This window comes from Homo sapiens, chromosome X (assembly GCF_000001405.40).
Source record: "Homo sapiens chromosome X, GRCh38.p14 Primary Assembly".
NCBI lineage: Eukaryota > Metazoa > Chordata > Mammalia > Primates > Hominidae > Homo > Homo sapiens.
In genome coordinates, this window is record NC_000023.11 from 103,333,811 (window position 1) to 103,349,205 (window position 15,395).

A 15,395-nucleotide genomic window follows, 5' to 3' on the forward strand; every position below is an offset into this window, starting at 1 on the left:
AGCCTATAAAATTATTCAAATGTTAAATAGCTGGCCCCTCTCAAAAAGTCATCTCCTTACATTATAATCATCTGGAGTGCTTCTAAAATGCAAATTTCTAGCCAGGCATGCTGGTGCACACCTGTAGTCCCAGCTACTGGGGAGGCTGAGGCAGAAGGATCACTTGAGCCCAGGAGTTTGAGGCTGTAGTGTGCGATGATCATGCCTGTGAATAGCCACTGCATGTCAGCCTGGGCAACATAGCAACACCTCATCTTTTAAACAAAAATGTAAAATTCTAACACATATCTCTCCATATACACACATACACGTGCAAACACACTGAGATAAAATCTCTGTGCATTTGGCCCTGGAATCTTCATTTTGGGATTCCCATGAAATCATGGTCTCCACTACTTCCTGATAAACATCATAGACTTTGTTTCATCTGGGCTGTACAGAGGGAGTCTTCTTATAATCAAAGACCGTACTGGTTAATAGTTGATAATTAGGGGCTCCTAAAAAGTAAAATGGGGGTATCATACCATAAAAATTCTGCAGAGGACATAAGTAGGGTACCCATATAAATAGGATACCCAAATAAATCTATTTGGAGAATAAACATTATTTAGCTTTCCTAGGAGGCAATAAGACAATTCTAAAAAGAAACAATAAAAATGACAAGATATTACTACCAAATAGGCAAACAAATGTTTACTTATGATAATTTTATTGCAGATGTAGGCATTTTCATACTGAATGAGAGAGTAAATAATGGCATCCATTTTTGTGCTTCTATTCACAATAAGTTGAAATGCTGTCTATTTTTCATATTCTAGGACCTAACTTCTATTGCTTTGAATTTGTCCTAAGAAAGTAATCATAGTTATGAGCAAATGTATAGCTATATGCATATTTGCTTAAGGCTTTTGTGTATTTGCAAAAAAAATTAACCTAAGAATTGAGCGTTATGGACTATTCAATCAAAAGAAAAATGAACATAGATTCCTACTCCCCGCATACACAAAAATGTATCCAAAGTGGATTAAATAAAAAAGTCTGAGAAACAAAAATGAAATAGCACAATAAAAATCAAGAAAACAATTTTTATAATCTCGTGATAGTGATTATCTTCTTAAGCAAAAAGAAACCCGAAGGTTATAAAGGAAAAAATATAAAAGGTACAAGGAGAAGAAATAGGCTGAGAAGAAATATTTGTAATACCACGACAGATAATGGGAAAATATCCCTAATATCCCAATAGCTTTTAGAAATGGAAAAGAAAAAGATAAACCAGTAAAATATGTGCAAACTATACAACCTAGCACTTCCATTACATTGAATTACTGTAGAGATATATTTACAGATATGCACGGGAAAGCAAAAATGATGTTTACTGTGGCATTGTTTGTAAGAGCCAAAATATTAAAAACAGACTAAGGTATCAATCGGAAAATAGTCAAACTGTGGTTCATCCATACCAAGAAAAACTACACAATAGTTAAAAAGAATGACATTCGTATATTGAAGCATCTCCAGGAATATTGCTGAATAAAGGCAATAAGACAGTTGATTCTCTATGATAGCCTTTAGTGAAAATGCAAAACAGAGATATATAAATTTCTGAATGGATATCCATCAAACTGGTTAAGTATTTAATTGTAAAGAAGAGATCCAAACTGGAAGTGTGTTTAAATCAGTATATTAGGATGGACTAGACTATGCTTAGTTAATTTTTTAAAAATGCAATCTGTATTTTAAAAACAGTTGATTATTCTTTCATGTCATAATTTCAGTGAGGGTTATTGTCTCTCATGCATGGCTCTGCTCTATTGCTTTTTTGGGTATCTAACCTGCATTTGTCCTGTAGTCTGGTATTCCAGATGGCATACATGGTTTCCAAAGTTACCAGAAGGATAGCAGAAGGATCACCTGGGGTTGTTTATAAGCCTTAGAAGTGTCTTATGTTACATTCTATAGCTGCAACATATGTGCAAGGGAGGCTAGGAAATGTAAAAGAACACATACTTTTTGACCAAGCAACCTTACTTTCAGGCATCTCATCTATAAAAAGAAAAGTATGTGTACAAGCATGTTCATTGCAGGCAGCATTGCTTTTAGTGGCAAAACATACAAATAATTTCATGTTAATTAATGGGGAATTGATTGAATAATTTAAGGTACATTTATATCATAGAAGGTAGATTCATTTGCATATGTATTTACTGACCTCTGCCAAGTCTTACAAGACTTCCAAGCTGAAATAAAGGGATACAAGATATGTAAGCCAAAGTCATATGAGAAAATAAAGAACAACAGTAAGGTAGCTACACAGGAAAATATAAAAGCAAGTAGTATGGCATATATGGCTTATAACTCCTCTTTTTTTCCTATATGATTTAAAAGACAAATGCATAAAACAATAATTATAAAACTATGTTAATATGCACACTTGGTAAAAATATATTATTTGTAACAATAACAACATAAAGGGGGGATGGAGCTATAAAAAATAGAGTTCTTGTGTTGAAAATAAATTGGTATTGTTATATAAAAGAAAAATGTGCTACGAAGATGTTAATTGTGTTCCCCAGAGGAACCAATAAAGAAAAAAACTTAAAAATATGCAAAAAAGAAATAACAGAATCAAACAAGTACACAAGAAAAAAATTCAATTAACCACAGAAAAGTGCAGTAATGGGGAATTGAACCAAAAAGGTGCAGATACATAGAAAACAAATAGCAAAAAGGCAGAAGTAAATCCTTCCCTGTCAATAATTACTTTAAGTGTAAATGAATTAATGTTTTAAAAGTACCCAGGATTTGTTTTAATCAAATATGGTAAGATATACTGACACAAAAATGACTGTCATGAAGAAAGACTTTTTATAATCACAGATACCTAGAAACAGAAAGTATACCATAACACACAGGGCCACATGAGGAAGCACCAGAGTCAGTCATGGGCAGAGCAAGTGAAGAAAAAAAAAAATGAGGGCAAGAGGCTTTATTGTTTTTTTGTTTTGTTTTGCTTTTGTGTGTGTGTGTGTGTGTGTGTGTGTGTGTGTGAAGAAACAAGTGTGGCAGCATAGGTAGGTTTGGAATTGGCTAATTCGAACCATTTCAATGGCTCAGGGATAAAAGGCTGTTTCTAGCTGTCTGTTACCTGGCCCTATTGTGATTAGTGCTGATAATTAGTGTGATATTAGTGAGAGCCTGATAAAGGAGATATTTGGTGGTATGGGTTCTGGATTGGTTGGTTTGCAAATGAAAGGGGTGCTCACAGCTGAGTTGTTTGCTATAGCTAGGAATTAGCTAACCCTGGGAGGAGCAGTCCCTTTAGGGTCAACAAGTCCCAGATATCACAGTTATCAAATACAGAAACTAGAAAACGTGGTTATTAGAACTAAACTCTCCAATTAGAAGGCAGATAGGCAGAACAGAATTTGAAAAAGCATGATCCAACTCTACACTGTCTAAAACCGACTCTTTTTAGATTCAAAGACCAAATTGTTTGACAGTGAAAGAATGAGAAAAGATATTCCATGTAAATAAAAACCAAAAGAGAGCTGAAGTGGCTATGCTAATACCAGGCAAAATGGACTTTAAATAAAAATTGTTATAGAGATAAAGAAGAACATTATACATTGATAAAGTGTCAATCCATCAAGAGGATATTATAATTTTAAGCATATATGCGCCTAATAACAGAGCCCCAAATTACACGAAACAAAAACTGACAAATTGAAAGGAGAAATGGATGGTTATACAATAATAGTCGGAAATTTCAATATCTTATTCTCTTTTTTATGCTTTTTTTCTTGCTTCAAGTGGGGTTAGATTAATATCCTATTCTCAACAACAGAACAACTAGATAGACATTCAATAAGGAAATAGAGGACTTGAACAACACTATAAACCAACTAGTCCTAACAGGCATATGTAAAACGTCCCACCTAATGACAGAAAAATACACATTCTTCTTAAGGGCAGATGGAACATTATCTAGGATATGGACCATATTGAAGCCACAAAACAAAATTCAATAAATTTAAACACAATAAAATCACACAAGGCATTTTCTCCAACCAAAATGGAATGAAACATGAAGTCAATAACAGACAGAAAACTGGAATTCCACATATGTGAATGGCTCAAAGAAGAAATTGTAAGAGTAGAAAATACTCTGAGATGACGTAAAATTGAAACACAACTTATCAAAACTTATAGGATGTAGCAAAGGCAATGCTCAGAGGGAAATTTATAGCTTTAAACACTTACATTTAAAAAGCATAAAGATTCCAAGTCAGCAACCTAACTTTACATCTAAACGAACTACAAAAAGGGGGAAGCTACATATACAGCTATCAGAAGGAAAGAAATAGTAGAAATTAGAACAAAGATAAATAAAATAGAGGGAGTGTCATCAGCAAGATGGCATTATAGAAAGCTCTCCTAACTTGCCAACAAATACACTGTTTCAGCAACAATTCACAAATTTCCTTTGTGATAAATCAGAAGCTAATTGAAATGCTCCTGCACTCTGAGAGAATGCAAAACCAGACTCACATAAGTTGATAGGGAGATTTGGGACACCCTCTTTTAGATACCCTGCCCCCAGCTCAGTGTCATACAGTCAGAAGGAAACCCCCTAACTTCCAGCTTCATCCAGGGGATAAAAAGGGTTGGTTCACATGTCTAGTACCCCTACTTTACCAAGGGGTTCTCCAGAGGACTGGCTCCTGTCTTGCCAGTCTTGGAGCTCTGATTGCTTCAGCATAGTCTAGACACCCAGGAAAGAACAGAGGTGGTGGTTTGGGCTGGTGATTCCATTGATTCTCACCCCTGCTAAGCACAAAACTAGCAGATGAAAACTTCCAGTTTTCAGCTTTCCCCTAGGGAGGGAAACAGGCGACCAGCACATCCAGCACCCCCAATTTCTCTGAAGCTGACCAAAGAAATAGCATTGTATTGCTAGGCCTGGAGCTCTGACAGGTCCAGCACAGTCCAGATGCCCAAAGGAGAATGAAACAGCAGCTTGGACTGAGAGACACCATTGATCCTCCCCCAATCCCACGGCTCAGCACAGAGTGAGAGAACAAAAACTACCGTTGTCTGTTTCCTCATGGGGAGGGAAAGAGTTAGAAGTCTCCAAAATCTCTGGCTAGGCAGATTGGTGAAGGTCTTCTCCTTCATGAGATCAGTCTGTGAAGACTGGGAGAGGTGCCTGCTTTGTCTAATGCTCAGACACCAATATAGTGAGTCAAAACAATTAGATTTTCCAGTGAAAACATATTGATAAATCTTCATAACCTTGTATTTTTTAACGAATTCTTAGAAATGATACCAAAACCATGATAAAGTGAAAAATAGATAAGTTGAACTTTATCAGAATTTAAAACTTTAGTGCACCACAGGAAACCATCAAGAAAGTGAATAGCCAACCTACAGGTTGGAAGAAAACATTTACAAATCATGTATCTGATAAGATAGGTATATTTATATATTTATTTAATTTATAAATTTATATATTCTAGTATCCGGTATACATAAACAACTTCTACAACTCAACAGCAGAATACAATTTAAATATAAATAATGCAATTTAAAAATTGGCAAAGGATTTTTTTTTCTATTTTTATTTTTTTTAGAGATGGGGTTTCGCCATGTTGCCCAGGCTAGTCTTGAACTCCTTAGCTCAAGTGATCCACCCACCTCGGCCTCCGAAAGTGCTAGAATTACAGGCGTGAGTCATCGCACCTGGCCCCAAAATTGGCAAAGGATTTTAATAGACATGTGCGCGCGCACACACACACACACACACACACACACACTCACAGGTAACTTTGATGCAATCTCAAGTGGTCCACAAACATCTCCAGTTGAGAACGCCTGATCTAGGTTAATCAATGTGGTCAGCAGGTGAGAGCTTCTTAAACACTGACCTAAGCCTGGCTGAGGGGCCCCCAGGGAGATGGACTGGCAGGCAGGAACACTGCAGCAAGGATAGGCACCTCCTAGGGCTCTAGAGATGTGGAATTCAGGGGTGAAAGGCTCAGCAGACTGTGCTCCGCAAGTCAGGTGGGATAAAGTAGACAGGGTCCAAGACAGCTTCCACTTGAGCACTGTAAATAAGGGCAGAGAACAAGTGTGCCTAGGGTTTGTGTGTTGGCTGTGGGGAGTTGGGGCAGAGAGTGCAGAAGACCTTCCCTGGTAATCAAAGAAAAGGCAAACACCAGTCATAGAGTGGTGATACCACTTGTGGCCCCTTGGATTTAAAGATGGTTAAAAAGCCCAGTGAACTAGGGTAGGTTATATGTGAGGGGATAGTATGATACATGTTCCAGGCCAGGTGCATTCATTTTATTTTAAAAACCTGAAAACTTTTATTATGTATGTAGCCAAACACATTTTGTACTTAGTACAAACTTGGACAATTAAGGTAATGTCATATCTCTACTGAAACAAATGATTTTCTTTAGAAAACATGTATTTTTTTCTTACCTTGAATGCTTGCTTTCACTAAATAAAAAAAGCTTTATTAATTCTTTTATTATCAGAATAAGAGAAGCTGGCAAGAAAATACTAAGACAAAAAACCTTACTTCAATTACACTCATCCCATCTCTACATCCTGCTCTGTATTAATTTCATGCATGTTCAAAGCACAGATGAAATGAATATCAGTGACTATGGAAAAAAGAAGTGGACTTAGGAGGTAGATGTTTGGGGAGCATAAGCAACAAAAAGAAAATTTGTCAGAGAAGATGTGTGAATGGCTGCTAACCCAAAGAAAAACTGTAGCCTCTCTTTGGTAACCAAAGAAAGGGAAATGAATGTCCCGGGGTGAAGGTGCCACTTCTGACCTCTCAGACTGCCCAAGGTAAAAATGTGTAATATGATGGGGAAGAATGAAATGAGAAGGTAGAGATGGTGTGAGTAGAAATTGGTGTCTAGAGACCACATAGCCTGATATGGTTTGGCTGTGTCCTCACCCAAATCTCATCTTGAATTCCCACATGTTAGTTTCTCCTACTCTGAGTTTATCAAACTTCTAGAAATACTCACATCTTTCAGTTGTAGTACATTTATTTATTGTACGTTTCTTCTGAAGAATTTTTGTGTGGTTTGTTTTTATAATTTCTCTTTCTAATTTTGTTCACAGATTGTATTCCTGATTTTCTTTATTCTTTGACCATATTTAGCTTTTGAGCATATTTAGAACACTTGCTTTAAAGTATTTTGTGGTAAGGCTCATATCTGGGACATTTCTATCAGTTTATTTTCTTTCTTTGAGTGAGCTATACTTTTCTTTTTTATATGCATGGTAATTTTTTGTTGAAAAGTGAACCTTTGAATAATATAATGTTTTAATTCTGGAAATTAGATGATCTTTCTTCCTCCAAGGTTGTGTGCGTGTGTGTGTGTGTTTGATTGTTGAAGGCTGTAGTTGTTTATTTAGTGACTTTTCTAAACTATTTTTGCAAATACTGTATTCCTTATTGTTTGCAGAAGTCTCTGTTCCTTTAGCTTGTCTTCAGCCAGTGTTTTGACATATATTTCCTTGAATGCCAGGAGCTGAAAAAACAAAACCAAAAATGAACTAACTAACAAAAAATTAGAACACCTCTCCTAGTCTTTGGGCATTAGCTCTGTACTCTCCAAAACTTATTTACAGATAAACTTAGATCAGTGGTATTTTTTCAGCCTTTCTTCTTTTCCAATATATGCATTTGAGGGCATAGAATTTTTTACTAAGCACAGATATAGCTATATTCCCACAAATTTTCATGTGTTGCATTCTCATTTTCATTCATTTAAAGAGAATGGCACATTTGATTGTCATTTCTTCTTTTATTTACAAATCATTAAGAAGTGTATTGTTTAATTTCCAAACACTTTGAGATTTGTTTATCTATTTGTTATTAATTCTTAGCTTTATTTTTCTGTCATCAGAGAACATATTCTGAATTGTTTCAATACTTTGAAATGTGTTGAGACTTGGTTAATGGCCTAGTATAAGGTCAATTTTAGTAAACACTACATTTGCTCCTGAAAAATATTTATATTCAGCACTTGTAGGTTATGTTCTATGTAACATAATGTCACATTTGTTACTCTTATTGCTTAAATCTTCAATACTTCAACTGATAATTTTTATGATTCTATCAGTTACTTAAGGAGGTATGTTTACATGTCCCACAAAGACTTTACATTTCTCTATTTCTCCGTTTATTTCTAATAGCTTTTGTCTTGTATTTTTGAAGTAATGTTAGTAGAAACATACTGGTTCAGAATTTTCATATCTTTCTGTTAGATTAAATATTTTATTACTATCAAATATATCTCTTTTTCTCTAGAAATATTTCTTGTCTTTAAGTCTACGTTGTTGATTTTTTTCATAGCTACACCAGCTTTCCTTTGATTACTGCATGCATGTATTTATTTTGACTTTCAGCCATTCTCTGTTCTTACATCTAAGTGTGCCTCTTATAAACAGCATATAATTCATAATTTTATCCAATCTTATTTGGAGTGTTCAATTCATTTACATTAATTCTAATTATTGGTATATTTGTGTTTATGTCTCTCATCTTACTATTTGTTTTCTATTTGACTCTCCTGTTTTACATTTCTATTGATTAAATTAGGCCATAAAATCTTAACAGAGTAAAACTACGGACTTCCTAAACTTGCGTTCAAAATTGTGTGCCCATCAGATGTGGTGGATCATACGTGTAATCCCAGCACTTTGGGAAGCTGAGGCAGGAGGATTGCTTGAGCCCAGGAGTTCAAGACCAGCCTGAGCAACATGGCGAGACCCGGTCTCTCCAAAAACAGAAAAAAAAAAATTAGCGGGGCATGATGCTGCAGGCCTGTAGTCCCAGCTACTCAGAAGGCTGAGGTGGGAGGATCTCTTGAGCCTGGGAGGTAGAGACTGCAGTGAGCCATGATTGTGCCACCGCACTCCAGCCTGGGTGACAGAGTGAGACCCTGTCTCAAAAAAAAAATGTGCGCCCGTATATGTATGTGGGTGAGTATACCCATTTGTTCAAGGACGGTTATATACATTTGTTCAAGGTGTATGCATGTGCTGAGGAGAGAGCACATGGCTCTCATTAGTTTCTAAAAGGAGTTTATAACGTTTTTTAACTGCTAGAAAAGAACAGAGTTTGGATTTGGTTTTAATGCCTGGACTCTTAGCAACTGAGCCATATTCCTGCCCTAAATGTTGAAAGTCCCATTTCTTATCAGTCTCTATGTTCTCCTTGGCTGATCTCATCCATTTCTGTAGTTGTTGCTACAGTCCTAGGGATAATGACATTGAATTTTACACCTCTAGCCCATACCCCTTTCTGGCCCTACAGACTTTTATCCATTTCTCCAGTGGAACTCTCTTCCTGGATGTTCTAAGAGTATGTCAGTCTCAACAGGTCCAAAATTAGTTGCCCTGTTAGTCAAGATGAACACTATTTCTCTGCCTCAGACTTCCTGATCGGTGATGCACAAACTGCAGTGCTGTTTCTGGTCACAAGGTGGCCCTTTACTTTACTTTTTAAGTTTATCCCAGTTGTGTTAAAAGAGAAAAATCCACTATTATATCGTAAACAAGTTAGGAGATATTCTTTACTGTACAATACCTATTTATTTTTGAAAATGTTTATGGGTCAAAAATTTTGAAGGAATCTATTGGCACATTTCTCCCTCATGAATTCTGCATTCAGGCAGTAAGTATCTACCTTCTGTTTCCACTGCTGAGAAGTGTCTTAATTTTATATTGGATAGCTTTTCTCTGTGTCCTAGCTTCATAGTTTCGACCATTTCTAGCTTCATAGTTTCAAACCATATCTTCATAGTTTCAACTCCTCCTTAATTTCATATTTCTCATAACCTGGATTTATTGTGACCTCTCAAGTCCTTATGCTAGAGAATTTGCCTTTGCTTTTCTTTTTCAGTTCCCAGCATCAATCACCCGATTATCTCCATTATGCCCAGTTTTATCCAATGTGAGGGAAAACATCATTCCCCTTAGAAAAAACAATGGGATTGGGATTGGGATTTGACACTGCTAAAATTTTAAAAATATACATAATTTAAAAATTATATTTAGGAAAACAAGTGGCTGTCTCCATCTGTTCTAGTCATGGTTTTAATGTATTTATTATTTACTTTATTGAGAGACTGAGAGCACTAATTCTGGAGCCAAACAGTTTTGCTTATATCCTGGTTTTAAAACCTATTAGCTGAACAACTTCAGGTAAACTCTGCATCCATTAGTTTCCTCCTACGTAAAGTGGAGTCATTGATAGTATAGCCCTCACTGGTTTCTTTTGAGGAATTAATTGATTAATACCTGTAAATCACTTAGAACACTGGCTCACACTAAAAGTATGTTATGAGTATTGTTATTATTACCATTATTACCATTATATTCTGCATATTTCAAATTAACATGAATACAGAGGTATTCAGAATTTTTAATGGCAATGTGATTGAAACTGTACAAAAACTTTAAAAATAAAAAAACTGACTTTGAAAAAAAAAAGAACGGAAAAATCACCCTTAATCAAATATTCATTCTGATATGGTGACTTATGTTACACTTTTTCTATTGAATATGCACACATGCATGTATACACCTTACTTTCTTAATTATTAAATTACAGCATCTATAACATACATCATGGATTCAGGAACACTTTTTTGAGAAAAAGTAAACCATCACATAATATCTTCACATCTATTGTATGATGTATCCCAATGTGAGAAATATTGAAAGATTTTTAAAATAGAACCCATATTAGTCTGTTCTCACATTGCTATAAATAAATACCTGACACTGGGTAATTTATAAATAAAGAGGTTTAATTGGCTCACAGTTCTTCAGGCTGTACAGGAAGCATAGCACCTTTCTGCTTCTGGAGAGGCCTCAGGAAACTGTATTACAATCATGGCGAAGGCAAAGGGGGAGTGAGACATCTCAAATGGCCAGAGCAGAAGGAAGTGGGGGAGGTGCCACACACTTTTAAACAATCAGATCTCATGAGAACTCACTATCAGGATGACAACACCAAGGGATATGGTACTAAACTATTCATGAGAAACTGACCCCATGATCCAATTGCTTCCCACCAGGCCCCTCCTCCAACACTGGGGATTACAGTTCGACATGAGATTTGGTGGGGACACAGATCCAAACCATATAGGATCCTAACATAAAATAGGATAATTTACATCTTGTGATATATGTATTGCTAGGCTCTTAGGCATTTTGACGTATTTCCTTGCAATCTTTTTCTATGCATATTTGTACTCAATATTATTGTGCTTCCTCTGTACTACCAGTGGTTCTCCAGTGTTAGTGTGCATTAGAATCTTTCAGGGGAGCATGATAATTGTTTTGGCACCCAGTTAGAAGTTGAGTCATGGAACTTTTGGGGGATGCCAAAGTCTGTCCTGTTAGCAAGAAAGATGACAGGGATTCTGAAACAGGCAGTCTGTGTGACATTCTTTTAAAATCATGCTAAATTATATTCATCTTTTAATCTGGCATGTCATCCTTCCCCTAATAGGCTCCTTAGAAATACAAGTCTTGCCAGGCAGGGTGGCTCACGCCTGTAATCCCAGCACTTTGGAAGACCGAGGCAGGCAGATCACGAGGTCAGGAGTTCGAGACCAGCCTGACCAACATGGTGAAACCCCGTCTCTACTAACAATACAAAAATTAGCTGGGTGTGGTGGCACACACCTGTAATCCCAGCTACTCAGGAGGCTGAGGCAGGAAAATCGCTTGAATCCAGGAGGTAAAGGTTGCATTGAGCCAAGATCGCACCACTGCACTCCAGCCTGGGCGACAGAGCGAGACTCCATCTCAAAAAATATATATAATAAATAAATAAAAATTAAAAATAAATAAATGAAAGAAATACAAGTCTTTGCCTCTAGGGAAATGAGGAGACTTATTTCCTGTTCTTTAGTCAAGAGTAGATCTTGGCAAAGGACTTGAGAGTCCCCACAGAGTAATATTGCCCATATTTAACATGTATTAAACATCCACAATATGTTAGACACTATAATAGATACTACGAGTGTACAGGTGATAAAGACTATACTTGCTATGAGAAAGACACAGTTTTGTAGAAGAGTAATTTCTAATATTTTTAATGAATTTTTTATCTTACCGATTATTTTAAATGCTTTTATGTAGGGAGGAGATCAGTCTTGGGGTGTTACTCAGTTTTGATCTAAGGTGAATATTTCTGTAATTTATATGCTTTGGGGTACATCTGTTGCCCTACTGGGTAGATGTGCCCAGAATTTTTTGTATGAAAAGCTATGAATATCCTGAGAGAGAAGTCACCTCTTGCAAGAGCATGGTAGACATAAAAAGCCAATGTTGTCTCACTACTTTTGGAAATTGCCACTACTAACATAGGTGGCAACTTCCAAAAGTAGTGAATATATAAACAACATCTTTTTATTATAATTAAGGTGATAGGTAGCTAGCTTCAGCTGTTCAAGTCTTCGTTTTATTTTATCCATCATTTACTTTTTTAATGAAGTCTCATATGCTTGTATTGATTCAGTATCCTCCAACCAAATGGAATCATGTCTGAGTCCTCTGGAGAGCAGAGGACCTAAAAGTAAAATAAGAAAGACCCATTTTATGAAGAACGTTGTTAAGATACCAATTACTGAGCCACATTTGTGTGGTACTCATCTTCATAAGGGTAACTATAATCCCAGGGAAATCACTGGGGCTTTGAAATCTTGAGGACTTCAACACACCAACAGCTGTCAGCAGAATGAAAAAGACAAAGGAGAAATAGCAGTAATGTCCAGAAGACATGAAAGTATCCAGAAAAGGGTGACACTTATGTCTTGACTGCCTGAACTTGTTCCTGGGCATGGGTTAGACATGGGTTAGCTTTCCTTGAGCGTTTTCAGGGGTCTGGGGTTCTGAAAGAGTAGGATATAGGGTAGGATCTGAACCAACACAACCCACACATTCAGTTCCTCACCTAATCCACTCAGCAGCCCATGGGGGGCAAATAGTATTCCTTTTTCACAGATAGTAAGGGTGACCCATTAAAGTAATATCATGGTAATATATACTTGGGTTATGTTGCTGAATAAGAAATTCTAAAAATTAACTTGAAATTAATTTTTTGTTTTTCTAACAAGTTTTTATTGAAAGGTAACAGTTTTTAAAGCTGATTGGCACATTGGTTACTTAGGGATACAAGTAATACATACTAATTTTGGAAAAATACAGTTACTAAGGAGAAAAAGTAAAACCATTTGTAATTCTGCAATATAACAGCTTCATTTTAGTATATATACTTTCAGACTCTTAATATGTGTAATACATAACTATACTTGACTTAAAATGAAGCAACAATAATTTTGCACACTGCATTATAACTTGTTTTTTCACTTTAAAATACATAATGAGAATATTTCTATTCAAATATATTAAACACTTCTGCTGACAAAGGATTTGTTGATTTGATCAGAATGTAATATTCAAGTAGAAGCTGGCAATACTAAAAGTTTTGAAGCAACTGAATCAACAAAAGTACACCAAAAAAGGCAAAAAAAAAAAAAAACCCAGAAAGCAGAGTTGAGAAGTATTAACCTCAGAGAAAACTTCTATTTTCAAGGTATAAGGCATCATAATGGTGATAATGAATGAGGTGGTCCCCATTAAGGCCATGGACTATACCTTAACTTAAATCCCCTGAGTTTTTGCCTTAACTCTCTCATCTCCTCCATGAACCATTCCATATCATCTTTATCCGCATTTATCATGTGAATGTTATTGATAAGACTACACCTCCCCTAAAATCCTGGACACTGTCTATTATTTCCTTCAGACTCCTGACCTTCACTCCCTCACAAAGGGCGAATTTCCTCTCCATTTTGCACAGGGGCCTGCTCCCCTCCTTCTGTTTCCTTTTTCATTTTTCCTGGAGGAGGTTTTCCGTGTTGAGATTTCTCTCCAGCTTATTCTACTTGGCACTCCGTCACTCCTAGGAGATAAAAAACGAGCGAAAAGGGCAGTGCTTGGTGGACATATCAGCACCGAGGACAGTGGCCCTACTACGCACCTTTCAAAATTCAGAGCCCTGGATATCGACGGTTTTTAAATTTTTATTTTTCCCACCAGAGAGGACTTATGCGCTCTCCAGGAGGCCTCCTGCTGGAGCACCTCCCTCCCGCTATCTCTTCTCTCCTCCCTCCTTCAAAGCCTAGCATTTTTCTTGTAGATCCTTCCCTAGGCCTATGCAGACACCAAAAGGGAGGATCTGGAGTGGGGCCACTAACTGGGCTCTGTCTCCGCCCGTACACACACTCCGCCCCCACCACTGTCCCTAGCATCGATCTGAACCTATCCTTGCAAGTTTTCTCCTCCCGATTCTCGCCTTGAGGTGCACCGCAGCGACACTTAGCCCGCAGACCTGCAGACGGCCAGGGTGGGGCGAGTGGAGGCTGCTGCCGCAGAGCGCTGGCGCAGACCCGCCACCACCCGGCCCCTTCCCCTTCCAGCGTCTTCCAGCTCCATATTTCCCAACTTTGTCCCTTTTTATCCATCCTTTCTCCGAAGCCATACTCAGCCCCTGGCCCTACTTGCTATTTAAACATCCACGATGGTGGAAGGCGATAATGGGGACTGTTTGAAATAGAACTTTCACCTTCCGTGTGTCTGTTTCCCTCTCCTGTGATTCATTTCCACACCTCTATTAACAAAATCTTTTGCACCAAAATGGGTGTAGGACACAGGGAGTGGGGTTCGTATCCCCACCCCCTGTGGGGAAGGCTATATGGGTATAGCATATACCCATATACCCGTATGCATATTCCGCTTGCCCCAAGAACCACCCAAAATGGACCTTGGGTAAGGAAGGAGTATCAAAAACGCAGATCGGGACCCACTTGAGGATTCTGCCCTCAACAGTCATCCATCACAGCCCCGGGGTTCCCCCAGAGTTCACGCCAGAACACAAACCTACAGCGTCTGGGACAGTTGTTTTCCTTATACGTTGACCAGAATTTTCTTCTTCTCCATAATAGGAATAATTAACCAGAAGATACAAAAGGCAGGACAAAAAGGACTTGAGTAGACTCCCGTTATGTGACAGCAACGTCACAGGTGAGTTGAGACTACCAATTTTCCCTCCCACTCACAAGCAGAACAGCAGGAACCAGCATCCCTCCACTCTTCCTTCACCCTGGGCCTGGGATGTCTGTTTTTCCACCTTGGCATTTCAGTTGGCCAGGAATAGTATTTGGTTTCTCTAATCATCAGGAAGAGGCAGCGTTTTTCTTGGGGTTATTGTCAATTTACAATTATTATGGACTTATCTCTTTCCCCTGTTCTAACCTTCCCCAAAATGGCCCTTTCACCCCACCTTC

General features: G+C 37.5%; 1 annotated feature.

Moving 5' to 3' along the window:
* Positions 14,475 to 15,015: an enhancer, noted in NCBI's record as "H3K4me1 hESC enhancer chrX:102603213-102603753 (GRCh37/hg19 assembly coordinates)". NCBI's record gives its function as "activates a minimal SCP1, AML or CMV promoter by ChIP-STARR-seq in primed H9 embryonic stem cells {active_cell/tissue: H9 hESC(primed)}" and the evidence as "EXISTENCE:reporter gene assay evidence [ECO:0000049][PMID:30033119]".